We start from the raw sequence: 27,498 nt of genomic DNA, 5'->3' as shown, positions 1-27,498 counted from the left end.
TTAAGCGATTCTCATGCCTTAGCCTCCCGAGTAGCTGGGATTACAGCTACGCACCACCACACCTGGCTAATTTTTGTATTTTTTGTGGAGACAGGGTTTCACCATGTTGGCCAGGCTAGTCTCGAGCTCCTGACCTCAAGTGATCCACCCACCTCGGCCTCCTAAAGTGCTGGGATTACAGATGTGAGCCATGGCGCCCTGCCCAAAATCCTAGGATCTTTGACCCACAACTCCAGGAGGCTTGTCAAAGACCAAAGAGAGATCACCTGCCTTCGAAGTGTGGACAAGCCCCCACTTCCTCGCTCAGCTTCTGCAGACATGGTGGGGAGCCAGGAGTCTCACCCACACAGAGGAGCAGCTAAGGGGCTGGAATGAGACAGGCTGGGCTCAGATCCTGACCTGTTACACTCAGTGTGTCTGACCTTGGGTAAGTAACACAGACTGTGTCTCAGCTTCCTCTGCCTCTCTCACAAGGCTGTCATGAGTTGTAAACCTGGAAACATACATGAAGTGCCTTGCAAATGGTTCATCTTCAGTAAATGGCAGCTACTGTTAATATTCTCATGATCACCCCTCCTGCTCAAGGACTCAACTTCTAAGAAGATTAGAAGGCTCTCCACTTGCCAAGTGCCAGGACCACTCCCAGACCCTGGCCAGGGAAGGAGCTGCCACAGCAGAGAAGTCTGAAGGCAATAAGCAGGTGGTGGGTGGGATAGAGGGGAAGGGGCCCTGAGCTTGCAGGAACCACAGACCACCTGCCACAGAAACCCAAGCTGGGAGAAGAGACAGCGTGACTCAGAGAGACCCCAGCTCAGCCTCGGCCACCCCCAGCTCAGCCTCCAGCACCCACTCCTGGGGCTGGGACTGGACTGCTCCATAGCTGTGGTGAGAGATGCTGCATTCCCAGACTGCCACTCAGAGCCCCCTGTGCCCCAACGACTGGGCCTGGGAAACATCAAAGCTGGCCCCGAGGGGGCCTCTGTCCTGACGTCAGCTCACAGAAGGTCCTGGTTAGTGCTTGGCTGGGACAGACTTTAGATGTTTCTTTTTTCTTTTTTTTGTTTTTTGAGACAGAGTTTTCGTTCTTGTTGCCCAGGCTGGAATGCAATGGCACAATCTCAGCTCACGGCAACCTCCGCTTCCCGGGATCAAGCGATTCTCCTGTCTCAGCCTCCCAACTAGCTGGAATTACTGGCATGAGCTACCACGCCCAGCTAATTTTGTATTTTTAGTAGAGACTGAGTTTCTCCATGTTGGTCAGGCTGGTCTCGAACTCCCAACCTCAGGTGATCCACCCGCCTCGGCCTCCCAAAGTGCTGGGATTACAGGCGTGAGCCACCCCGCCCAGCAGATGTTTCAAAAGGCAGAGAATGCAGCTCCCAGGTCTGCTCCAAGCCCCCAGCCCCTGCTATACGCACCTCAACCATGAGGCTCTTTATTCAGGTTGGCCCAGTGCTGCGGCACCCATGTTTGCTCAGAAGACAGTCTGTGGTGTGCCCAGCCTGGCCATCTGCCCAGCTTGCAGCGGGGGACGTTGGCCTGTTGTTTGTTGTTGGGCTATTTTTGAGATAGGGTCTCACTCTGTTGCCCAGGCTGGAGTACAGTGGTGCCATCACGGCTCACTGCAGCCTTGACCTCCAGGGCTCAAGTGATCCTCCCACCTCGGCCTCCTAGGTAGCTGGGACCTCAAGCATGTGCCACCATGCCCAGCTAGTTTTTTATAGAGACAGGGTTTTGCCATGTTGCCCAGGCTGGTCTTGAAATCCTTAGCTCAAGCGATCCTCCCACCTCGGCTTCCAAACTGCTGGGATTATAGGCATGAGCCACTGTGCCTGGCTTTGGTCCGCTGTTTTGTTTTGGGGAAGCAGACAAAGGAGACCTGGCAGAAAGGTCAGACTCCAAGAAAGGAGCTGGGAAGTAAGGGACTCTACTTTTGCTTTGTCAGAAGCTTTGCTGATAACAAGAAATGGAGGACAGCAATGACAGAGAAGAAGGCAGGCGGTTCGGGATTGAGGTGGTACCTGCCTCAAGGTGATGTAGTCACCAGCACATTCCTGTCCCCGCCCCCTGACTTGAGTATGCCCCCAGGACTGTGGTCTGGGAAAGGTCCTGGGCTTCCCGAGGCTGCCTCCTCTTTTGCCACCGGGCCATGCCATGCAACCCCCTCCACTGCACACAAGCCCCCATGGAGATGCAGGCCACGTGACCCCGGAGGCAGCCAGCTCCATGTGCAGCTTTGCTGCTGCCAAACAGCCCTGCCTCCGCTGCTCCCTAGTGACGCTACCTTAGTGTGGCCTCTGCACCCTTCTTTGCCGTGAAATGGGGACAGCGGCCACCACCCCACCTGAGTAAGGGCTAACGGGTTCACATTCACAAAGCCCACACACGGCACAAAACGCAGAGGGTGCTGCTTCCCCGGTATGAGCCTGCCGTACCGGGCTCAGCAGGCAAGAAGCCCTCAGCAACAACAGGCAGACAGGGCCATCTGCCCACACCAGGCGCCGACCCCAACAAAGCCGGAGCTGCAAACACCCAATAAGGACATTTTCCAAGCCATTTCCTTGGCTCCCTAACAGCCATCTATATGCAGACACTCACTCTGCCTGCGTCTCCCGTGCCTGCCCTCCACCCCCACCCCCGCCAGCATCTGGTCTGGTGCCCACCCTCCGTGTTGCTCTCTGGGCTCAGGCCCAGCCAGCCCATGTGTGCATATGTGTGCGTGTATACACACACATATGTGTAAACACAATTGTTACAGAGAGCAGGGAGCAGCAGGAAGTTTTTCCTAGGCACTCCCACTCTAAGTAATTTTGGCTGCTTCAATCCAAGGATCCATCTGGGCCACTCAACTACCCATCTCTCAGGAGCTAGAACTCCTGGTTTAGGAAAAACACCCCCAGGACCTATATAGGCCTCAGAATCTGCCACACATCACTGTTTGATTCTATCAATCAACTTCTCTCTCTCATTAAAGAAAATTCCATCCGGCCAGGCGCAGTGACTCACGCCTGTAATCCCAGCACTTTGGGAGGCCAAGGCGGGCGGATCACAAGATCAGGAGTTTGAGACCAGCTTGGCCAACATGGTAAAAGAAAACGCCATCCGTCAGATGTCTCAGGACCAGGCTGAGATAGAAAGACCCTGGCTGAGTGGGGAGCTTGATGCTACCGGCCCAGAAGTCCTCCAGGAGTGTGCTCCACAGAGGCATGGGGATTTTGCATGGTGGAGCATGACTGTGTGAATAATTGCAGGATCTCCCACACCCCAAGTCAATCAGCCACACATATGTGTCTGACACTTCCACACCAGCACCACACTAAAGACTCAGTCCTTTGGCCGGGTGCGGTGGCTCATGCCTGTAATCCCAACACTTTGGGAGTCCAAGGCAGGTAGACCACTCAAGGTCAGGAGTTCGAGACCAGCCTGGCCAACATGATGAAACCCCATATCTACTAAAAATACAAAAATTAGCTGGGCATGGTGGCGCGTGCCTATAATCCCAGCTACTTGGGCGGCCGAGACAGGAGAATCGCTTGAACCAGGGAGACAGAGGTTGCAGTGAGCCGAGATCATGCCACTGCACTCCAGCCTGGGTGACAGAGCAAGATCCATCTCAAAAAAAAAAAAAAAAAAAGATTCAGTCCCCGGCTCCACGGCCTGGGTCCCTGTAGGGAATATCCCGAATGCCAGATGGCCCCTAGAGTCCAGGTCAAGGTGGGTGGCTCCTGTAGGGCATACATAGACCCCCAAGGGAGAGGTTTGCCAGCTTCCCAGTGTAGGGAGACAGCGCCAGGCCACAGGCCAGGAGAAGCAGCCCTCAACCTGAGAAGCATAAATGTTCCAGGGGAGGAGCAGCCCCGGGGCTCCCTGACCCACAGAGGACAAACTTCCTCTCAAGTCCCCACCACTTGGAAACTCTGAAGGCCAAGCCAGAGGGCCCAGGGTGCCTCCCCAACCCCTGAATAGCCTACCTAATCCTCCCCCAGGGCCCAGTGCACTGTACTGCAGACCTCATACCTTAAAGATCTGACTGATAACTCTGGACTGCTCTTGAGCCACCCCAAATGTGTGTGGCCCAGAGACATTTTTTTTCTTTTTGAAATAGGGTCTCATTCTGTCGCCCCACACTGAAGTGCAGTGATGCAAGCACGGCTCACTGCAGCCTCAACCTCCGAGGCCCAAGCAATTCTCCCACCTCAGCCTCCTGAGTAGCTGGGGCCACAGGCACGTGCCTGCATGCCCAGCTAATTTTCAAATTGTTTTTGTAGAATTGGGGTCCCCCTAGGTTGCCCAGGCTGGTACTGAACTTCTGGGCTGAAGTGATCCTCCTGCCTCAGCCTCCCAAAGTGCTAGGATTACAGGCATGAGCCACCATGCCTGGCCACATTTGTAACGTTTTGAAGAACAGTCTCAATCACTACAGGAATAACTCATTTGAGTGAACAGTAAGTCCAGTCATCTCCCTTTTACCCAGGTTGGCAGAAACACAAAATGCTGCAGGGCTATTTGTGACTCTGAGGATTTAGAATGTCTCCCCCGACTACCACCAGTACACTGTATGTGGTTTCAGTGCAAGCAACCCAGACTGTCTGATGGTGAGCCCAGAGCATAAGGGTTCAGAAGTCACTGAAGATGGACAAGCTGACTCCAAGACCCAGTGAGCTGCAGAGCACAAAATTCTGCTCCCCTTCTGTCTTCCCAGGGTCTACAAAAGGTCCCAGGTTCACCAACAGGAGCCCTCCAAAATCCATCCCAGACCTTGCCCTAAGCAGAGCAAGAGGGAGCAGAGCCAGGGACCCTGCTGAGTTTTCCTATCCTGGGACTTAATATCAGTATCTGGAGAGGTTCCCACATCCAGATTAGAGAAACAGAACAGGATCACCAAGGACTGGGGCAGAAACAATTTAGCAGGCCAGCTCTTACATCTCCGGTGAAAACCGAAACTCAGACTTGCCTGTCCCACTCCCAGGAGGCCCTGGAGGGGGCAGATTAACCTCTAATGGCAGGAGTAAGGCCTTGGGTCCGGCATCACATGGTATCCAAGCATGGAGAGACAAGAATGCCAGCCAGCTGAGTCAGGCACAGCGCCTGTAATCCCAGCAACTTGGGAGGATGAGGCAAGAGGATCCCTTGAGGCCAGGAGTTCCGCCTGAGCAACATAGTCAAAAAAAAAAAAAAAAAAAACAGAAACATGGCACATGACGTAAGGTGCTCCCCAGCCAGGGGTCACCATCAGAACCTGGACCCCGCCCATCTTCTTCTGGGGCTGGAAGGGCTATACCCAGTACATGCCTCTTGCCCTTAGTGACCCTTTATTGGCTGTGGAGTCTCTTAGGAAGTAGCAATGAATGAAAAATGCAGCTGGAGTGAGGTGGTGTGATGAGATGGAAGGAACATAAGTTAGGGAAACCTGGGTTCTGGTTTGATACAGTCACTAATGAGGGTGACCCTGGTCAATCGCCACCTCCTCCCAGGCAGTCCTATCTGTAAAATTACAGAAATGACAGCATGCAACTGAACAGTCACCAAGACCTAACATTGGACTGGCTGCAATGAATCACAGAGGTAGTTACAGAAACGGGGGCCCATTCCCCAGAATCTCCCCCACTCACCATCCGCACAGCCAATCCTCAGAGCCCACTTAGTAAATGCAGCACCAGGCCTGGGAGGGATTAAGAGTGACCTAACAAACAGCAGGTGTGTGGGGTCTGAGGCAGCTGGGGGCTGCAAACAGGGATCCAGCATCATTCTGATGAGCTGCTCTGTTCCTCGGCGCAGCCCCGTGCAGCCTCCCCGGGAGACCTGCCTCTGCCATCTCCTGCCTTGGCCACACACTTGCACTGAAATCTCATTGCCTGGGATACCCCATCACTCTTGCCTCTGCTGTGACTGAGAGCTTTATCCCCCAAGCTAGTAAGCTGGAGGGAAGGGCAGACATTTGTGCCCAGTGTGAGACATCTGTGCCCCCCTGGTGCCTGGGACACGCAGTAAATACCCTGAGAGCACGCGTGGGGGAATGAAGTCACTCAAGTGTCCATTTGACCTGAAATATTGTCCTACATCTACATTTATCCATCTTGGCCAACTTAATTTTCCTCTCTGAGTCTCAGTTTTCTCACTTGGAAGATGGTAGCCTTGAAACCAATTTTAGTAACGCTTTATCAGCCTACAGTCCCTCCCTATGATATTTAAATGAAATTCACATTAAGTATAGACACACAAAAGTCTGCCTATTTTTCAGGAAAGTTAAAAACCCCAGAAATTCTAAGGAACCGTGGAACCCAGGACTCAAAAGCTCTCGGACTAAGCAGACCCCTTCCAAAGGTGAATGCAGGAAGGAGGACCTGGAACAGAATTGCCAAGGGGAACCACAAGTTCTCAGCACTCTCCATGTCTGGGAACGGATCTGGCCCCAAATCCATTCTTGGCCCCAAGAGGAGAGGGACAGACAGCAGCCAGCTGTCTCCTGAAGACGCCAGTGAGGAGCCTGCAGAAATAATATACATCCCAGGGAAGGCAACAGGGCTGCTGGAACAGGAGACTGGGAAATATGCCACGAGCTCAGCCTCAGGAAGACCTCTGTGGTGCTCAGCCAGTGCTCCCAGTGATCCAAGAGGACAAGAAGTCCAGCCCCTGATCACCCAGGGAAGATGGGAAGAGATTTGCTGTGGGCTCAACAGCCATTCACTGGAGGGGTTCGGACCCAAAGTGCTTCCAGGTCTCTGACTCCCAGGGGTTCCAATGTGCAGGATCCTTCAGAGTCCACCATGGAGAACAGTGCCAGGGTGGAGCCTGGGAGCCAGCTTCCCATGGTCCTTCCCGCAGAAGCAGGGGGTGAACTAGACAGGCCAGGACCACTACCTTGGACTGGTTGTAGCCTTAGTTTAATGATTAATTTTCTAAACAGGCTCAGAAAACTCTGATAAATTCCAATTTACGAGCCTTTTTCACCCATCTCTGTCTCCCGCCTAGGAGACTAATAATCCAGGCTGAGAAGCACAGCCTGCAGACCTGGTCAGAGTGGCCACAGCAGTTCACCCCAAATTCCTGGTGGTGAGGAGGACGCCCTTTACACCCTGCCTGCACCCAACCCTGCCTCACCCACCCTACCCTTGGGGATAGGTGGCCTCAATCCCATACAATAAGGAAAATCTTCTCTGGCTTCTAAGAAGTTAAAATAGCCTGGTTGTGGTGGCTTATACCTGTAATCTCAACACTTTGGGAAGCCGAGGTAGAAGGATCACTTGAGCCCAGGAGTTTGAGACCAGCCTGGGCAACATAATGAAACCCCATCTCTACAAAAAATAAGCCAAATGTGGTGGCGCCCACCTGTCGTCCCAGCTACTTGGGAGGCTGAAGTGAGAGGATGGCTTGAACCCGGGAGGTGGAGGTTGCAGTGAGCCAAGATCACGTCACTGCAGCCTGGGTGACAGAGCAAGACCCTGTCTCAAAAAAAAAAAAATTATACACACACACACACACACACACACATACACACACATATATACATATATGTATATACGTATATATACAGACATATATACATATATACATATATATATATATATATATATATATATAGAGAGAGAGAGAGAGAGAGAGAGAGAGAGAGAGAGAGAGGTTAAAATATTCCTTAAACCTGCTCTGTCCAATATGACAGCCCTAGCGACATGAGGCTATTTAAATTTATTTATTTATTTATTTCAAGACAGAGTCTCACTCTGTCATCCAGGCTGGAGTGCAGTGGTGCAATCTCAGCTCACTGCAACCCCCGCCTCCTGAGTTCAAGCAATTCTGCCGCCTCAGCCCCCAAGTAGCTGGGATTACAGGTGCCCGCCACCACGCCCAGCTAATTTTTGTATTTTTAGTAGAGACGGGGTTTCACCATGTTGGCCAGACTGGTCTCGAACTCCTGACCTCAGGTGATCCACCCACCTCGGCCTCCCAAAGTACTGGGATTACAGGCATGAGCCAACGCGCCCGGCCTAAATTTAATTTAAATGAAGTAAAATTGAAAATTCATTTCCTCGGTCACACTAGCCACACTTCCAGTGCTCAGGGGCCATAGGTGGCTGGTGACCACTGTATTGAATCACAGAGAGAAACAGTTCCACCCTCAAAAAAAAAAAAAAAAAAAAGGCCCATCTGACCACCTGCTTCTGGCTGCCCTAGTTCCTCTGACTGCCCACTTCTTGCTAGATCCTGTGCACAGACACACTGCCTTTTTCTTCTTCTTCTTTTTTTAATCCATAGGATTCTGCCTGATAGAGGACACATTTCTTTTCTTTTCTTTCGTTTTTTTTTTTGGACAGAGTTTTGCTCTTTTGCCCAGGCTGGAGTGCAATGGCATGATCTCGGCTCACTGCAACCTCCACCTCCCAGGTTCAAGCATCTCTCCTGCCTCAGCCTCCTGAGTAGCTAGGATTACAGGCACCCGTCACCATGCCTGGCTAATTTTTTGTATTTTTAGTAGAGACAGGGTTTCACCATGTTGGCTGGTCTCGAACTCCTGATCTCAGGTGATCTGCCCACCTTGGCCTCCCAAAGTGCTCTGCCTCCTGCCTGGCGGACAGACTGGGACTGGCGTGAACCACCGCGCCCGACCTAGAGGACACATTTCTGATCCAGAGAACTCTCAACACCATCAGCCTCATTTTATAGACAAGGAAATCGGAGTCAAGGATGCCCCAGTAAATGGCAGGCTCAGGAGCTGCCCCTGGATCTGTCTGGCTCCCAAGTCTGCCTTCTTTCTGTGATGCCACACTGGCTGCTTCTCATTTCACTCATTAATTCCCTGTTACCCACATTCCCTCCACAACCAATCTATTGTGTTTCACATGAGTCCTTTTGTTTGCATGTGCTCTTGTAAAATGCAATTGGTGTTCCACGGGCAGGTATTTCTTACTCATGTGAACGGTCCTGCAAGATCTCTCACCTGCTTCCTACTCGTTGTTCATACTCAGCACTATGTTTTGAGGATCCTTCTCTGTGGCCTTCTCCTACATCCTGCTCTTCTCCCCAGTAGATTAATGTATTGGGCTTTTCTGGGGGAGAAGCAAATGAATGCTCTTTTAAACAGGTGGCGGAACAGAGCTGTCCATAGTTGAAGTCTACGGTGGGCATGGTGGCTCACGCCTGATTGTAATCCCAGCACTTTGGGAGGCCGAAGTGGGCAGATCACCTCAGTTCAGGAGCTTGAGACCAGCCTGGGCAACATGGTGAAACCCCGTCCCTATTAAAAATACAAAAATTAGCCAGGTGTACTGTCGGGCACCTATAATCCCAGCTACTCGGGAGGCTGAAGCACGAGAATCGCTTGAACCCAGGAGATGGAGGTTGCAGTGAGTCGAGGTCGCACCACTGCACTCCAGCCTGGGCGATACAGCGAAACTGAGTCTCAAAAAATAAATAAACAAATACATAAAAATAAAAACATAGTTGAAGTCTACAGCCTCTCCTCTGCATGCCCCAGCACCCAGCCCTAGCCTCTATCACCTACTCACCCTCGTCTGTTTCCACCACTCCTCTGGGTATCCTCAGAACCTGGTCACATGTACATGTATCCATATGCGTGCGTGCGTGCGCGCGCACACACACACACACACACACACACACACACACACACACACACACACAAACCAGCTTTTCCTGGCCTTCTTCCTCCTCCACTCAAGCCCAAAAATTCACTAGAGGCTGGACCTCGGCTGGTTTCAAAGGGATAAGAGAAAGAATCAGTCTCATACTTTTATATTTAGAAGCGTTCTGCAAACCACTTCCCGGAGCAGACAAGAGTGGGGAATGTGAGGAAATCACTTTGCTATGTTGTGATGTGGAAAGCACGAGCCGCCCAGGGCCTGTGGCAGCAGGCTGCGGGGACACGACGCAATGTTAGCACATGTGCAGGAGGCGAACATGCCCCTGGACAGCCTGGCCATCCCTTCTCACGGCTGGCCAGCTGGCCGGGAGCAAAGCCACAGACCCTTTCTCAAAGGCCCCTCTTGCGACCCTTCCTTTGGGGAACACAGTGTCTCCACCTATCTAGGCAGCAGCTGTTTCTGGAAACCAACCCTTCTTTCTGGGGAGGGGTCTTACAAGGGGGTTGCTCCACTCAGGCCTATAAGACTAGACTTTAGGCCCAACCTGGGATACAAACAAAGAGAAGGCTCCAGACTGAGGGAGGGGGCTGGAGGGTGCTTAGAAGAGCTACGAGCTTGGAGGGGCAAGGGTACACTCCTGGACCCAGGCCCATGGGAGAGGGGCATGGGAGCAGGATTTTGCACAGGGCCCACTGCCTTTTTTTTTTTTTTTTTTTTGAGATGGAGTCTTGTTCTGTCACCCAGTTTGGAGTGCAGTGGCGCGATCTTGGCTCACTGCAACCTCCGCCTCCTGGGCTCAAGCAATTCTCCCATCTCAGCCTCCCGAGTAGCTGACACCCGCCACAGTGCCAGGCTAATTTTTGTATTTTTAGTACAAACAGGGTTTTTCCATGTTGGTCATGGCTGGTCTTGAACTTCTGACCTCAAGCAATCTGCCCATCTCGGCCTCCCAAAGTGCTGGGATTATAGGTGTGAGCCACCCCGCCCAGCCCCCACTGCCCCTTTCTGAAGGCAGATCTCCTCCTGCCATCCAAAGCTCTCCTCGCAGCCATCTCTGCGGCTGGGAAAATGCTGAGTAACAATGCACCGGAGACAAGGGGAACAGATCTTGCAGGAGCCATCAACTGCAGCCATGGTTGTTGCTCAAATATTACTCACAGGTACTGGAGCCAGCCCAGTGTTATTAGGTGAGCCCTGGGGGCACAGGGGGATGAGGACAGGCCACCTGCTCGGCTACAGTCAAACCATCAGATCTTCCCAGATACTTCCTAGTCTCCTTACAAACTCCATTTTACTGCTTAAAATATAAACTTCCTAATAAGTTTATATTTTAAATATTAATGTATATTTTAATGCATTAATTTTATTTAATCTCTTAACTACATTACTAATGATTGTTCCTTTATTTTTAAGGAAAATAACCAAAAAAGAGTCATACTTTAAAAAAAATCAGCTGTTTAGAAAAAGCATTCTGGCTAAAGATAGCAAAATAAGTATTTTAATCTTCTAATCAATAACAATAGATGAAAAAAACAAACTGATGAATAAAGGACAGAAACAACTCCTTGTAAAGTTATTTTTTTGTAAAGTTTTTTTTTTTTTGAGACAAAGTCTAGCTCTTGTTGCCCAGGCTGGAGTGCAATGGCAAGATCTCGGCTCACTGCAACCTCCGCCTCCCAGGTTCAAGTGACTCTCCTGCTTCAGCCTCCTAAGTAGCTGGGATTACAGGCACGTGCCACCATGCCCCGCTAATTTTTTTGTATTTTTAGTAGAGACAGGGTTTCACCATGTTGGCCAGGCTGGTCTCGAACTCCTGACCTCAGGCAATCCGCCTGCCTAGACCTCCCAAAGAAGTTATTTTTAAAAGCACCAAAATCTTGCAACTCATCACCAGATGCCAAAAGCCTAAGGACAGCCCACTTCAGAGGGAAACATAAAGCATAAAGCACACGCGGACGGCTGAGAAAAGGGCTCCTAGGGGTGGCTGATGCAATCGCTGAACTGAATAGCCAAAAAAATGACAAAAAACCTCAAGTTTATTTCATGCCTACTCCCTTGATCTTTCAGTCAGGGTCTGGAAGGCACCGAGATCTGGCTTCACTCAAGTCTGGAACTGGCTGTGCCCCCATTCCAGGGGGTACCTCTTACGGACCTCCAAAGTCACACACAGACAGAGACAGACAGGAGAGAGACAGAGGGAGAAACAGAGGGAGACAGGGAGATAAGATAAGGGAACAGAAGAAATTGAGAGAGACAGAGAAGGGGAGACTGACAGAGAGAGAGAGAGAGAGACAGACAGACAGACAATGTGAGACCCAGGCCCTGGCAGACAGATGGAGGTGGTGAGAGATCAACATGCAGAGACACAGACAGAGAGAAACTGAGAGACAGAGATCAAGTAACATAGAATCATAGAGAGACAGAGACAAAGGGACAAGAAACAGCACGCACACGTGACACACGCACATGCATGCACACATGGAGCTCCCCATGCCTGCAGGGCAGGTCCCAGCCCATTTAACCCAGCTGCCCCTGGCAGGTCTGTCCTGTGTTTCTAGCAGGGGGACCCTGCCCACCCCCTCCCACCACCCGCCCCAGCAGCCCTGGGGCCGCAGGGACTCCAGACTGAGTCCCCGGCCACAGGCCCCGGGGCTGCTCAGGGTAACACTAGATTCTGAAGGTTACAGCTTGTCTGTTGGTGGAAGGCCAGAGGGAGTTAAAGAGAGGGGCGGAGGCTCTATATATACACCAGATTCAGACCATTTATAATGGAGAGCCCTCAAATTAGAGGCTCCTGGTAAATAATTCACCAGGAAGAATACAGTACCTTCCCTGGGCTCATCCATTATTCATCAAGATAAATGCGCCGTACTGTTAAACTTCCTGACATCTAAAATGGTCTGAGCCATTAGGCCAGGAGTGAGACAACAGCAGAGCAATTTCCATCCAGCTTTTCCAGAACCCCTGACCCAGCACTCCTGCTACTTTTGGAGCTTAAGTTGCTGCTCCTTAAGCAAGGGCAAAGCACTTGGCTTCCAGAAAGGGCCAGGCCCGGGCTCTGACTGTGAGATCCCAAAGGCAGGCACATACCCCCAGCTCCCAAGAGCCTAGGGCCAGAAGGAAACAACCGTGCCCAGAAAAGTCTTAGGTAAAACCCTTGTGTTCACCAGACCCCAGAAAGAAAAGGGAAAAGGAAAACACTTTTTTTTTTTGAGATGGAGTACCGCTCTGTCACCCAGGCTGGAGTGCAGTGGTGCGATCTTGGCTCACTGCAACCTCTGCCTCCTGGGCTCAAGTGATTCTCCTGCCTCAGGCTCCCTAGTAGCTAGGACTACAGCTACGTGCCACCATACCTGGCTAATTTTTGTATTTTTAGTAGAGACGGGGTTTCACCATCTTGGCTAGGCTCGAACTCAAACTCCTGGCCTCAAACGATCCACTCGCCTCGACCTCCCCAAGTGCTGGGATTACAGGTGTGAGCCACCACACCTGGCATAGGAAAATACCTTGTTTGTATCTGTCTAAGGGCAATACTGTTCTGAAGAGTATCAAAGAAGAGCACTTTGGGAGGCTGAGATGGGAGGAGCTCAGGAATTCAAGACCAGCCTAAGCAGCACAGCAAAACCCTGACTCTAAAAGAAGAAAAAAATTAGCTGTGTGCAGTGGCACGTGCCTATAGTCCCAGTTACCTGGGAGGCTGAGGCGAGAGGATCACATAGGCCCAGGAATTCAAGATTACAGTGAGCTATGATTGTGCCACTGCACTGCAGCCTGGGTGACAGACCATGACCCCATCTCTTAAAAAGAAAAAAAGGCTCAAAGAATTTGACTTTGATGCCAGCCACCAAAGGCAGAAAGACCTACATCCTAGACTTGGCTCTGAGCAAGTCATCTTGTTGTCTAGGCCTTGGTTTTCCCAAATCTAAAATGGGGCCGGGTGCAGTGGCTCACACCTGTAATCCCAGCACTTTGGGAGGCTGAGGTGGGCAGATCACCTGAGGTCAGGAGTTTGAGACCAGCCTGGCCAACATGGTGAAACCCCATCTCTACTAAAAATACAAAAATTAGCCAGGTGTGGTGGTAAGGGAACAGAAGAAATTGAGAGAGGCAGAGAAGGGGAGACTGAAAGACAGAGAGAGAGAGACAGATAGACAATGTGAGACCCGGGCCCTGGCAGACAGATGGAGGAGGTAAGAAATCAACACGCAGAGACACAGACAGAGAGACACTCCCAAGTAGTCCCAGCTACTTGGGATGCTGAGGCAAGAGAATCACTTGAACCTGGGAGGCGGAGGTTGCAGTGAGCCAAGATCACGCCACTGCACCCCAGCCTGGGTGACAGAGGGAGACTACGTCTCTAAATAAATAAATAAATAAATAAATAAATAAATAAATAAATAAAACTGGCTAGCAGCAACACCTGCTCTCTATCCTGCAGAGCCTCTACAAGGATGAAATGCCTCTGGAAAGTTTACAAAACATGTAACTGTAAGGTGCTGGCATACAGTGTAGATGCAGGGTGGAGATGAGGTTAAAAGTTCAGAGACTGGAGTCAGACTACCTGTATTCAAATACACTCCCTCACTTACCAAGAGTATGACCTTGGACAAGCTGTTTATCCTTTCCATGCCTTCATTTTTGTATCTATAAAATGGTGCTAATAGGCCAGGTGCAGTGGCTCACGCCTGTAATCCCAGCACTTTGGGAGGCCAAGGTGGGAGGACTGCTTGAGCTCAGGGGTTCAAGACCAGCCTGGGCAACACAGTAAGACCTCATCTCTACTAAATATTAAAAAAAAAAAAAAAAAGAATTAGCTGGGCATGGTGGTATGCACCTGTGGTCCCAGCTACTCAGGAGACTGAGGTGGGAGGATCACTTGAGACCAGGAGATCAGGTTGAGGCTGCAGTGAGCAATGATCGTGCCACTGCATCCCAGCCTGTGTGACAGAGTGAGACCTGTCTCAAAATAAATAAAATAAAAGATGCAAGTAACAGTACTGGCCTCATAGGCTTGTTGCAAAAAGAAAATTCACATGGTAACAGAGGTAGCAGTGTGAAACAGTGCCTGGCACATAGGAAGTATTATGTGAGTTTGGACTCTTAGCCATTATTTATTGTCATCATTATATTCAGGATTTTTTCATTTTTTAGAACCTGCACTCCATCACAACCATCCCTAAGCCAGCACTGGCCTTTGTCAGCATTCCTCTACACAGACCATTTGGAGATGCTAAGTGCCTGCTTGATTTCCCTCATCCAATCTCTGCTGTAGTGGTTCTCTCTGAACAGACACCCTGAGGTCTGAAGCTCTGTCCCTCAGCTGCCTGATGCTCCACCTGATCACTAAATACAGGTACGTGGGACTCCACAGTTCAAGAGGTGCCACCCTGTGCTGGTGAAGTTCAGAGGGGTAGCTACTGATTGCTGGCAGCTTTGCATTCTGTCTACCTTGGGCACCTCCAGACAATGCTCTGCTTGCATTCCTAATAGGGGTGCAGATTAGCAGTTGCTTATAGTTTCATTTACTTCCCCCAGAAGCTGTTCAAAACAGAAGTACCTTCAGCATGAACCAAAATCAGAGTGAGCCTATCTGGGTGAAAATGGACCCAGTCATCTTGGTATGAAGCAGGCCTCTGGCCTCAAGGAACACAAACAGTTATTAGGTGAAGAGAACACAGTAATGTTCATGCACCAATGAATGCCTAGAGATCACTATTAGACTTCAGCTTTCCGATCCTAGGAGGCCCCGCCAACAGAGGCCTGGAAAGTCTATGCTATCTAAAGGAGAATGCCTGACTACGTAAGATACAAGGTAGAAATGACCGTCAGCAGCAATGACAAGTCAGACAAATGACTTTAAGTAAATGACAGAAGAGGGGTTGCTGGCCTTGATATATGAAAAGTAACAAATCATTCATAAAAACTGTTAAAATTCGGCCAGGCACAGTGGGTCAAACCTGTAATCCCAGCACTTTGGGAGGCCGAGGCGGGTGGATCACCTGAGGACAGGAGCTCAAAACCAGCCTAACATGGTGAAACCCTGTCTCTAATAAAAATACAAAAAAATTAGCCAGGCAAGGTGGCACATGCCTGTAATCCCAGCTACTTGGGAGGCTGAGGCAAGAGAATCGCTTGAACCCAGAGGCGGAGGTTGCAGTGAGCCAAGATTGCGCCACTGTACTCCAGCCTGGGCACTAAGAGCAAAATTCCATCTCAAAAACAAAAACAAAAACAAAACAGCAACAACAACAACAAAAAAAAAACCTGCTAAAATTCTAATAGAAACATGGTCAAGACAATATGAAGAGTTCTCAAAACAAACATAAATGATTAATAAATATAGGAAAATACTCCAGGCCAGGCATGGTGGCTTACACCTGTAATCCCAGCACTTTGGAAAGCTGAGGCAGGCAGATCACGAGGTCAAGAGTTCGAGACCAGCCTGGCCAGCATGTATTTTGTATTCTAAACATACAAAAAATTAGCTGGGCATGGTGTTGCGCGCCTGTAATCCCAGCTACTCAGGAGACTGAGGCAGGAGAATCACTGGAACCTAGGAGACGGAGGTTGCTGTGAGCCAAAATCACGCCACTGCACTCTAGCCTGGGCGATACAGCGAGACTCTGTCTCAAAAAAAAAAAAAAAAAGGCCGGGCATGGTGGCTCACGCCTGTAATCTCAGCACTTTGGGAGGCCGAGGCAGGTGGATCACGAGGTCAGGAAATCGAGATCATCCTGACTAACACGGTGAAACCCCGTCTCTACTAATAATACAAAAAATTAGCCGGGCGTGGTCGTGGGCACCTGTAGTCCCAGCTACTCGGGAGGCTAAGCCAGGAGAATGGTGTGAACCCGGGAGGCAGAGTTTGCAGTGAGCTGAGATCACGCCACTGCACTCCTGCCTGGGTGACAGAGCAAGACTCTGTCTCAAAAAAAAAAAAAAAGAAAATACTCCAATGCACTAGTAATCTAAGAAATGTAAATTAGAACGAGTTCTACCCATCAAATGAAGGCCAAGATTTTAAAAATAACACTCAACGCTGGTAAGCATATGGAGAAAATAGTCCTTCTACTTTGCTGGAGGGAATATAAATTATAATAAATCCCTTCTGGAAAATGTTTGGTAATATTGTACTAATGTTCTAAAAAATTTATGTCCTTTCTCCTTGCAGAATTGGCTGATTCCAGTTCCAGGATAGGAAATGTACAAGAGAAGCCTAGAACTCCATCTTATCATACAAGGAAACAAGCAAAGACTAGCAGGGTCTCATCAAAAGGTCCAGGGGAAAAAAAAGATTCAAGGCCTGCTGGGTATGATGCCATGCTCCTGTAGTCCCAGCTACTTGAGTGGCTCAGGTGGGAGGATTGCTTGAGCCCCGGAGTTCAAGTTCAGCTTGGACAACATAGCAAGACCCTATCTCTTTAAAAAAATAAGATAAATAAAAAGGTTCAGGCTCAGCTTGAAGAGGCTCCCATCAGCCAATGATAGGACCACTTAAGCATTCGTAAGGGTAAGAACCACATGGACTAAAACACATCAAATAGGTTTAAAATCCGTAAGTGTACAGTGATGCTTAACACAAAACACTGAAAGTCTCTCACTGGCCACCTTTGAAGAATGTTAGAAAACCAACTCATTATTTTGAAAATCAGTAAAGAATCAAGCATTTATTTTTCCCTTTCTTGAACAGCTATATCTGTGGGTAACCAAACAGTTAATGAGGGGAGATTGGTGTTTATAGAAGTTTCCAGCTAATAAACAGAATACCATGATTTTACAACCCCCTAATGAAATAATGGATCTAGCAATGATTAGTGATGGCTTCTCATTCCAAACAGACAACCAGATATTGTACCTACTGAGGTACACATAAAGAAAAAACAAAATCAAATCTGAACTTGATGAAGCCTCTACATCTAACTCATTATTGAAAAGTTTAACAAGTCTGGGCACAGTGGCTCATGCCTGGAATCCCAGCACTTTGGGAGGCCGAGGCGGGTGGATCGCTTGAGGCCAGGAGTTCGAGACCAGCCTGGGCAACACGGTAAAACCCCGTCTCTACAAAAATATTACAGAAATTAGCCAGGCATGGTGGTATGCGCCTGTAGTCCCAGCTACTTGGGAGGCTGAGATGGGAGGATCATTTGAACCCAGGAGGTGGAGGCTGCAGTGAGCTGTGCTCGTGCCACTGCACTCCAGCCTGGGCAACAAACTGAGACCCTGTCTTTAAAGGAAAAAAAAAAAAAGGTTGGCCGGGCGCGGTGGCTCATGCCCATAATCCCAGCACTTTGGGAAGCCAAGGCAGGAGGATCACCTGAGGTCAGAAGTTTGTGACCAGCCTGGACAGCATGGGGAAACCCCGTCTCTACTAAAAATACAAAAATTAGCCAGGCATGGTGGCAGGCGCCTGTAGTCCCAGCTACTCAGGAGGCTGAGGCAGGAGAATCGCTTGAACCTGGGAGGCGGAGGTTGCAGTGAGCCAAGATTGCACCATTGCACTCCAGCCTGGGCAACAAGGGCGAGACTGTCTCAAAAAAAAAAAAAAAAAAAGTTAAAGCAGCTTTCTGGAACAAATTTGGAAAACAAGACAGAAGTTAGATAACAATGTGCCACCAACTGAAATAATAATCGTGAACACACATTCTCTTTATCTTCTATTACTCCCGTAAATAACTGTTAAAACCCTAATACCGCTATTTAACATTTCATGTGCTTACAACTCTGTCTTCGCCACTAGATTCTAAGCTTCCTGAGGACAGATGCAGATCTCGCACTTGGTCTCCTCCATGGCAGATGCCTCGCCCGTGAGAGGTGCTCAGGAAATATCGGCCGATTTGTGGTGGTTTTACTGAGCCAGATAATTTGGTCGCATTATCCCAACATGATGTGGAACCAGCAGGGGTCAAAGCCCAATATGGGATCCTGGTAGGCAATTATATTAATTATCATTCTTAATTCAACAATCATTTACTTAGAGCCTACCATGTGCCAAGTACTTCATAAGACACTGGGGACAGAGAGAGAAACACACAATTACTGTCTTTAAGTGTCTCAGTTTAGTAGGAGAGTCAGGCAAGTAAACATATAATTAAAGTAACAGCTACCACTTACTGACCACTTACTGTTCCAAACATTTAACCATATTAACTTGTTATAATGCTAATGCCCATCTGGTAGGGTAGGTACTATGATCCCCATTATGCAGATAAGGAAACGAGACAAAGAAAGGTAAAGCAGTTTGCTAAACATCACACAGCTGATGAGTAACAGATGCCGGCTTCAAATCTCAGGTCTTCTGGCCTGAGGAAAGTCTATCATAACGTGTAGGCTTTGCTGTATTATCACACAGGATGATGGGTGGGTGCAAAGGGCACACAAGAGAAGCATCTAAGTCAGAGTCAGGGGATTAAAAAGTCAGGGAGTCCAGGCGAGGTGGCTCACACCTGTAATCCCAGCACTTTGGGAGGTCGAGGATGGCAGATCACCTTGAGGTCAGGAGTTCGAGACCAGTCTGGCCCACAAGGTGAAAATCCGCCTCTACTAAAAATACAAAAATTAGCCAGGCATGGTGGTGCACACCTATAGTCCCAGCTACTCAGGAGGCTGAGGCAGGAGAATCGCTTTAACCTGGGAGGTGGAGCTTGCAGTGAGCCGAGATGGCGCCACTGCACTCCAGCCTGGGTGACAGAGCAAGACTCTGTCTCAAAAAAAAAAAAAATTCAGGGAAGAGGCTGGGCATGGTGGCTCACACCTGTAATCCCAGCACTTTGGGAGGCCAAGGTGAGGAGAGCACTTTAGGTCAGGAGTTCAAGACAAGCCTGGCCAACATGGTAAAACCCCGTCTGTACTAAAAATACAAAAAATTAGCCGGGTGTCACGCCTGTAATCCCAGTTACTTGGGAGGCCGAGGTTGCCATGAGTCGAGATCACACCACTGCACTCCAGCCTGGGTGACAGAGCAAGACTCTGTCTCAAAAAAAAAAAAAAAAAAAAAGGCAGGGAGGAATCTTGGAAGGATCTTCAACATAAGGTTTTACGAAGGAAAGGGGCGGGTGTGGTGGCTCATGCCTGCTATAATCTCAGCACTTTGAGCATTCTGGGAGGTCGAGGTGGAGAGATCACTTGAGGCCAGGAGTTCGAGACCAGCCTGGGCAACACAGTAAGACCCCATTATCTAGGCATGGTGGTGCAAGCCTGTAGTCCCAGCCACCTGGGAGGCTGCAACAGGAGGATCCCTTGAGTCCAGGAGGTCAAGGCTGCGGTGAGCTGTGATTGTGCCAGGGCACTCCAGCCTAGGTAATCGAGCAAGACCCTGTCTCAAAAAACAAACAAACAAAAACAAAAAAAGGAACGGGACTTGGCAAATAGAACAAGTCAGAAGCACAAAGACCAGGCATGATCAGAGAACTCTGAGTAATTCAGAATGCTCAGGGTTAAAAGGATGAGGAGAAGGAAGCCCACCAAGAGGCCATTAGAACTCCACTTTGGGGCAAGGAGGCAAAGGAGGTGAAATGCAAACCCACCCTGCTCAGGCTGTCCCCCAACAACAAAAAAAAATCACAACCACAATGAGTCCCTGTTTCCAAGGAGGTGGTTGCTAGGGTAGGAAATGGACTGAAGAAGCTCTTTGTCATGGAGAGAATGGCAGGCGCAGTCACAGAAGGCACGGCTACGGGATAATGCCATACCTGCTCTATCAGTTTCCCAGGGCTGCCATAACAAATTACCACAACTGGGTGGCTTAAAATAACAGAAATTTATCCTCTCGCAGCTCTGGAGGCCAGAGTGCAAAATCAAAGTGTTGGTGAGGTTGGATCCTTCTGGAGGGCACAGAGGGAGAGTCTGTTCCACGCCTCTGTCCTTGCTCCTGGTGGCTGTCAGCAATCCCTGGTGCTCCTTGGCTTGTAGCCACATCACTCCAACCTCAGCCTTCGCTATCACAAGCCGTCTTCCTGTGGTGTACTTCTGTCTCTGGGCCTTTTCTCTTCACATGGGGCGCCACCAGTCATACAGGATTCGTCATTCACCTTAATGAATTGATCTTACCTTGATTATATCTACAGAGACCCTAATTCCAAATAAAGTCATATTCACAGGTACTGAGGCTTAGGACTTCAACATGTATTTTGGGAGGACACAATTCACCCTCTAATATCTGCTATTCTGCAAGTTGCTTTTTTTTTTTTTTTTTTTTGCTATACAGTTAACCACAGATGTCTTTCCATGTCTGTTCATATAATTCGACCTCATTCACTTCAACCACTGTGTATTATTTCACTGTATCAATTACCCATAACCTATTTATCCAATACCCTAATAATGGGCATTCAGATGGTTTTCCTTTTTTTTTTTTCTTTTTGTCATTATGAAGAATATTCTTATTCTCTGTACAGGCATCTATGCACACTGATAATGAGAGGGTTTCTGTAGGATGACTTCCAAAGAGAATGGAAACAAAGAGAATATAATTTCAAGCTTTTGATAAATGACATCCAGCATTATCTCCAGAGAAGTTTTTTTAAAAAAAAAAAAAAGGCTGGGCTTGGTGGCTCATGCCTATAATCCCAGCACTTTGGGAGGCTGTGGCGGGTGGATCACAAGGTCAGGCGATCGAGACCATCCTGGCTAACACGGTGAAACACCGTCTCTACTAAAAATACAAAAATTAGCTGAGCATGGTGGCGGGCACCTGTAATCCCAGCTACTCAAGAGGCTGAGACAGGAGAATGGCATGAACCCAGGAGGCGGAGATTGGAGTGAGCGGAGATCACGCCACTGCACTCCAGCCTGGGCGACAGAGTGAGACTCCGTCTCAAAAAAAAAAAAAAAAAAAAAAGTTGTGCTAATTTACGCTTTCTTAACCAACACTGATGCTTAATATCTTTGTCAACCTGAGAGACATAAAATAATACTTTGTGGCTGGGCATGGAGGCTGACACCTGTAATCCCAGCACTCTGGGAGGCTGAGGTGAGCGGATCACTTCAGGTCAGGAGTTCAAGACCAGCCTGGGCCAACATGGTTTTCACCATGTTGTATTTTGTATTTTCTCTACTAAAAATACAAAAATTAGCTAGGCGTGGTGGCATGTGCCTGTAATCCCAGCTTCTCAGGAGGCTGAGGCAGGAGAATTACTCCCTCCCAGGGGGCAGAGGTTACAATGGGCCTAGCTCACACCATTGTACTCCAGCCTGGGCGACAGAGCAAGAATCCATCTCATAAATAAATAAATAATTTTAAAAAAATACTTTGTTTTAATTAGCATTGTTTCTTCTTAAGAAAATAAAGCAATTTTTCATTTTTAACTGGTTAGCTAAATTTCTCCCCCACCCTCAACCAAGATTTCAATTTAAATTGGTACTTGGGGAACAGAGAATATGAGATATTTTATTGCCCTAAATTTCTTATTGTCCATTTTATGTTCAACTTTGTTGCCTTATTTTCCTTACTGTTACCTTATTATTATTTTGTAATTAATAAGATCAGAAATATAAGATCTGATTTTCTGTATTACATGTGGCACTCACCCTCCCTCCTCCAGAATAGTCATTAAATTACTGAATGACTTATATGTGCCAGGCACTGCTCTAAGTACTAAGAATACAGCAGTGAACAAGACAGTGAAGGTTCCTGTTCCTAATCGTTACTTCACCGAAGAAGAAAAAGTGTTTGCACATGATTTGAGAAAACAGATGGGAGTGAGATTTTCACCCCGGGTGCAGACTTGCCTCAAAATTAATTTAAATACTGTCCTATTTTGATCCATTTGAGAGCCTTCTAGGGAAAATCTACTCTGTTCTCCAGGTGTCCTAGAAGGATTCACCAAAGGAACAGTGTGGTTAGTGAAGGTGGAGCAGGAATAGTTGCCAGACAGCTGTGCCCCTTCCCTGGAGGGAAGAGTCATGCCCCCAGGCACCCAGTGCCTTCAAAGGTTAAGGCTGTGAGTTCAGAGAACAAAGGAAGTTTTAAGGAAGAACAACTCCTCCCCACTCCAGGTAAAGGGGGATGTAACTGAAGCATCACTCCCAGCCTCACTCCACCTCCTTCCATCAGCCCCAAGGTGGGGGGATGTCTGATTGGGCATATTTGACTCCGATCCTTCCTCCTTTCACTTGGGAGTGGGGGGTCTGCTCCACCTGCAGGGAGCACACATTTTTTATAGGTGGCTACACACACACACACACACACACCTGTAATACTCCAGCACTGCTATGACAAGGGAGTAAGTCTGCCTAACTCAAGGATGAATAAGACATTTATCCACTTCAGATTAAAGCCTTGTTGCTTGCTCAACCTAGCCTTTAAAACAAATAAAAGTGATACTCTGATCTCCATCATCCAATCCCTGGTCTGTCTGTTTTTCTCCCTCTCTTTCACCCCCTTCGACTGGTTTTAAACTCAGAAGGGAGAAGGGTATTTACTGGTGCTGTCAATACAGTTTCCATTATAATGGTTTATGCCTGAGCATTTTGTTTTTATTTTTATTGATTCTGTGAATGGATAAATGTTCCTGTTGTATTTTCTAAATGGTTACTTGCTGATAAGCAGCAAACCTTCTGGGTTTTGTGTAGGTTTTGTATTTGCCCAAATGACTCAGTTCTCTCACTGATTGTAGTAGTTTTTCAGTTGATAATTGGGTTTCCCATGTAAAAAAGGTACCTCTGCAAAAAACATGAACTTTATTTAGACTTTCAGTCTTTTTTTTTCCTGTAAGTGACAGGGTCTTGCTTAGTTGTCCAAGCTGCAATCCTCCCACCTCAGCCTCCCAACTAGCTGGGACGATGGGTACACGCCACCTGGCTATATTCTTTCTTATAGCATTATTTCAGCTAAAATAATAATAAATAGTAGTGACTTTATTATTTTAATTTAGTAACTTCATTTTAATGCAAATAGCATTGTATTTCATTTTTAAGTATAATGATGGCTATGTTTGTTTTTTTAATCAGAAATGGATGTTAATTTATATCTAGTGTCATTTTTGCCTCTATTGAGAGAATTGTGTGACACCTTTGCGGTTGGTTTGTTTTTTTTTGGTTTTTTTTTGGTGGGGTAGGGGGAACAAAGTCTTGCTCTGTTGCCCAGGCTGGAATGCAGTGGTAGGATCTCAATGCACCGCAACCTCCACTTCCTGGGTTTAAGCAATTCTCCTGCCCCAGTCTCCCAAGTAGCTGGTATTACAGGGACCCGCCAACACAACCGGCTAATTTTTTTTTTTCTTTGAGACAGAGTCTTGCTCTGTTGCCCAAGCTGGAGTGCAGTGGCACGGCCTTGGCTCACTGCAACCTCCATCTCCCGGGTTCAAGCAATTCTCCTGTCTAAGCCTCCCAAGTAGCTGGGACTACAGGCGCCCGCCACCATGCCCAGCTAATTTTTGGGTTTTTAGTAGAGATGGGGTTTCACTGTATTGGTCGGGCTGGTCTCAAACTCCTGACCTCAGGTGATCCGCCCACCTCGGCCTCCCAAAGTGCTGGGATTACAGGCATGAGCCACCTCACCTGGCCAAGAGATGCTCCCAAGAACGGGCTGGAACCACCCACCTCCAGAGTTGGAGGCAAGCACACCAATCAACTGCAAGACACAGAGGGTCAAGTGGCACTCTGTATTTTTTTTAGTAGAAACGGGGTCTCACCATGTTGGCCAGGCTGGTCTCAAACTCCTGACCTCAGATGATCTGCCCGCCTCGGCCTCCCAAAGTGCTGGGATTACAGGCGTGAACCACCACGCCCAGCCACCTCTGACGTCTTATGTTGATGAGTTATAAAGGGTAAGCCACCCATGCATTTTTGGGAATACATCCTTTACTTGTTTATGGCACATTACCGTTTATCATAGTGTTAGATTTAATTTTCAAGTATTCTATATTAGACTTTTACACCAACGTTTCTAAGTAGTGTGGTTTTCTGCACTGTCAGCATTTGAGAACAAAGCTATATCAACTTTGTGACACACACAGGCTGTTGTCCATCTGTTCCTTGGCTCTGTGACAGTCTCTACAAAGCATTTACAGGCTCTACTTCTTCAACATTTTTCAAAATTTTCCCTCAAAACTATTTGATACAACTATCTTTCTTTTTTTTTTTATTTTTTTTTTTGAGACGGAGTCTTGCTCTGTGACCCAGGCTGGAGTGCAGTGGCGCAATCTCAGCACACTGCCAGCTCTGCCTCCCGGGTTCATGCCATTCTCATGCCTCAGCTTCCCGAGTAGCTAGGACTACAGGTGCCCACCACCACGCCCGGCTAATTTTTTGTATTTTTAGTAGAGACAGAGTTTCACCATGTTAGCCAGGATGGTCTCAATCTCCTGACCTTGTGATCCGCCCGCCTCTGCCTCCTAAAGTGCTGGGATTACAGGCGTGAGCCACCGCGCCCAGCCTCTTTCTTTCCACCGCGCCCAGCCTCTTTCTTTCTTTCTTTCTTTTTTTTTTTTTGAGACAGAGCTTCGCTCTTGTTGCCCAGGCTGGAGTGCAATGGTGCGATCTCAGCTCACAGCAACCTCCGCCTCCCGGGTTCAAGCTTCCGGAGTAGCTGGGATTACAGGCATGCGCCACCATGCCCGGCTAATTTTGTATTTTTAGTAGAGACGGGGTTTCTCCATGTTGATCAGGCTGGTCTCGAACTCTGGACCTCAAGTGATCTGCCCGCCTCGGCCTCCCAAAGTGCTGGGATTACAGGCGTGAGCCACCGCACCCAGTGATACAACTATCTTTCAATCGTTTTTAAGAGTTACTGTCTATCCAGTCATTTTAATTTTTTTTTTCACATCTGCTTAGTTTTTCATTTAGTTAAGTATTAAGGACCAGCTAATCAACTCATTAGATTGGTCAAGGCAAGACACTTGAACTACACAGCAGGATTTAAAAAGCAGTTGGTTTTTGGTAGTTCTCTGGTAACCACACAAACACATACACACAAATTTGTAGAGTACTCTGAATATAGGATTTCCCCCGTGATCTTGTATAATGCCCTGTTCACAATCTGCAGTATTTTGGAAATTATATAAATTGGACACGGCCAAATTAAAGATATCTCATAAACTCCTATAAAGTATTTGGGAACTTCAGCTGTATTCCCAAAAAAATCAGTTTTAAACTATAAAGACAAAAATGCATATAAAATCAAAACAGATTTAACAGACATCTTTGAAAAAAATCAAATTACAGTTCAATTTTCTACTTTTTCAAATATGACTAAAAAAAAAGTTACAAGTAGTAATGTCTATCATTTTTTTTTAAAAAAACCCTAATGATTTTTTTTTTTTTTTGAGATGGAGTCTCGCTCTGTCACCCAGGCTGGAGTGCAGTGGTGTGATCTCAGCTCACTGCAGGCTCCGCCTCCTGGGTTCACACCATTCTCCTGCCTCAGCCTCCTGAGTAGCTGGGACTATAGGCACCCGCCACCACGCCCAGCTAATTTTTCATATTTTTAGTAGAGACGGGGTTTCACTGTGTTAACCAGGATGGTCTCCATCTCTTGACCTCGTGATCCGCCCGTCTCAGCCTCCCAAAGTACTGGGATTACAGGCCTGAGACACTATGCCCAGTCATGATTTTTTTTTAAGAGACAGGGTCTCAGGCCAGGTGCAGTGGTTCACAGCTGTAATCCCTAAATCTCTACTAAAAATACAAAAAACTAGCCAAGCGTGGTGGCACATGCCTGTAATCCCAGACACCTGGGAGGCTGAGGCAGGAGAATCGTGCCATTGCATTCCAGCCTGGGCAACAAGAGTGAAACTCCATTTCAGAAAAAAAAAGAGATGGAGTCTCAAAAGCTGGTCTCGAACTCCTGCACTCAAGTGATCTGCCTGCCTCGGCCTCCAAAAGTGCTGGCATTACAAGTGTAAGCCACCACCCCCAGCCAGATTCTTTAATAAATTTCAGTCATTATATTTCCCTGGCACAGATTTATTAGCATAGCACCAAACATGGTAACCCCGATAAATATTAAAATATTTTCCTATCACAATGATCACAAATCTAATTATTAGTATACATTTCCTTAAATGGTAGCCCTCTGTTAAATGGTAAGCTCTCTGGGGACAGTGAATTTTTTCATCCCATTCCCTGCTCTATCTATATCCCTAGTACCTACTGGGTACCTAGAATGTACTCAAGAAATAGCTGTGGGCCAGGCGCAGTGGCTCATGGCTGTAATCCCATCACTTTGGGCAGACTGCTGGAGTTCAGGAGTTTGAGACCAGCCTGGGCAACATGGTGATACCCTGACTCTATAAAAAAATTTTTTTAATTAGCCAGGCATGGTGGTGCTTGCCTGTAGTCCCAGCTACTCAGGAGGCTGAGGTGGGAGGATTGCTTGAGTCTGGGAAGTCGAGGCTGCAATGAGCCATGATTGTGCCACTGCACTCCAGTCTGGGTGACAGAGTGAGACCCTATCTCAAAAAAAAAAAAAAAGGAAAAATAGTTGGGAAGCTATGAATGAAATTAAAGCCTCTTTTTTTTTCTTTGTTTTACCTATTGTCCTTTTATTTTTCTACATTAGAATTGCCAAAGTCACATTTTTTTTCCTTTTTTTTTTAAGTACTGGATCCTAAATGACTTATCTATTTTATATTTTTAATTTCAAATTTATTAATTTCAAAGTTGTATTCAAAAGAAAATTAATAATCGTAAATTATTTCCTAAAAAATGAGACTGAAATAAATGAAAATAAATTAATCTATTGGCCTAAAGTTAGAAAAAAGAATAAAACAAACTTTGCCATTATTTTAGGTTTGTATTATGTAAAGAACATGAAACTTTCTTATTCAATCTAAACTCCATTTCAGTTGGAGACTTATTCCACTGAAATTTATCATCATGACTGATATATCTGTCTTTGCTTTTATCTGTTTCACATTTTAATATTATAATGCTTCCTTTGTTGTAAATATGATTTTATTTAGTT

At 47.6% G+C, this 27,498-nt stretch overlaps 1 protein-coding gene across 10 annotated transcripts in view, besides 2 other annotated features; it reads right to left on the bottom strand.

The window, feature by feature from the left end:
* The window catches only part of PTK7 (protein tyrosine kinase 7 (inactive)), an 85,402-nt gene that overhangs the window by 35,475 nt on the left and 22,429 nt on the right, over positions 1 to 27,498 (bottom strand). The gene's annotated exons all lie outside the window — the stretch shown is intronic.
* Positions 5,219 to 6,138: an enhancer, noted in NCBI's record as "H3K27ac-H3K4me1 hESC enhancer chr6:43087841-43088760 (GRCh37/hg19 assembly coordinates)". NCBI's record gives its function as "activates a minimal SCP1, AML or CMV promoter by ChIP-STARR-seq in primed H9 embryonic stem cells {active_cell/tissue: H9 hESC(primed)}" and the evidence as "EXISTENCE:reporter gene assay evidence [ECO:0000049][PMID:30033119]".
* Positions 6,139 to 7,058: an enhancer, noted in NCBI's record as "H3K27ac-H3K4me1 hESC enhancer chr6:43086921-43087840 (GRCh37/hg19 assembly coordinates)". NCBI's record gives its function as "activates a minimal SCP1, AML or CMV promoter by ChIP-STARR-seq in naive H9 embryonic stem cells {active_cell/tissue: H9 hESC(naive)}" and the evidence as "EXISTENCE:reporter gene assay evidence [ECO:0000049][PMID:30033119]".

Source organism: Homo sapiens, chromosome 6 (genome assembly GCF_000001405.40).
Source record: "Homo sapiens chromosome 6, GRCh38.p14 Primary Assembly".
In the NCBI taxonomy this organism is placed as follows: Eukaryota; Metazoa; Chordata; class Mammalia; order Primates; family Hominidae; genus Homo; species Homo sapiens.
This window is presented reverse-complemented; position numbering and strand designations above follow the sequence as displayed.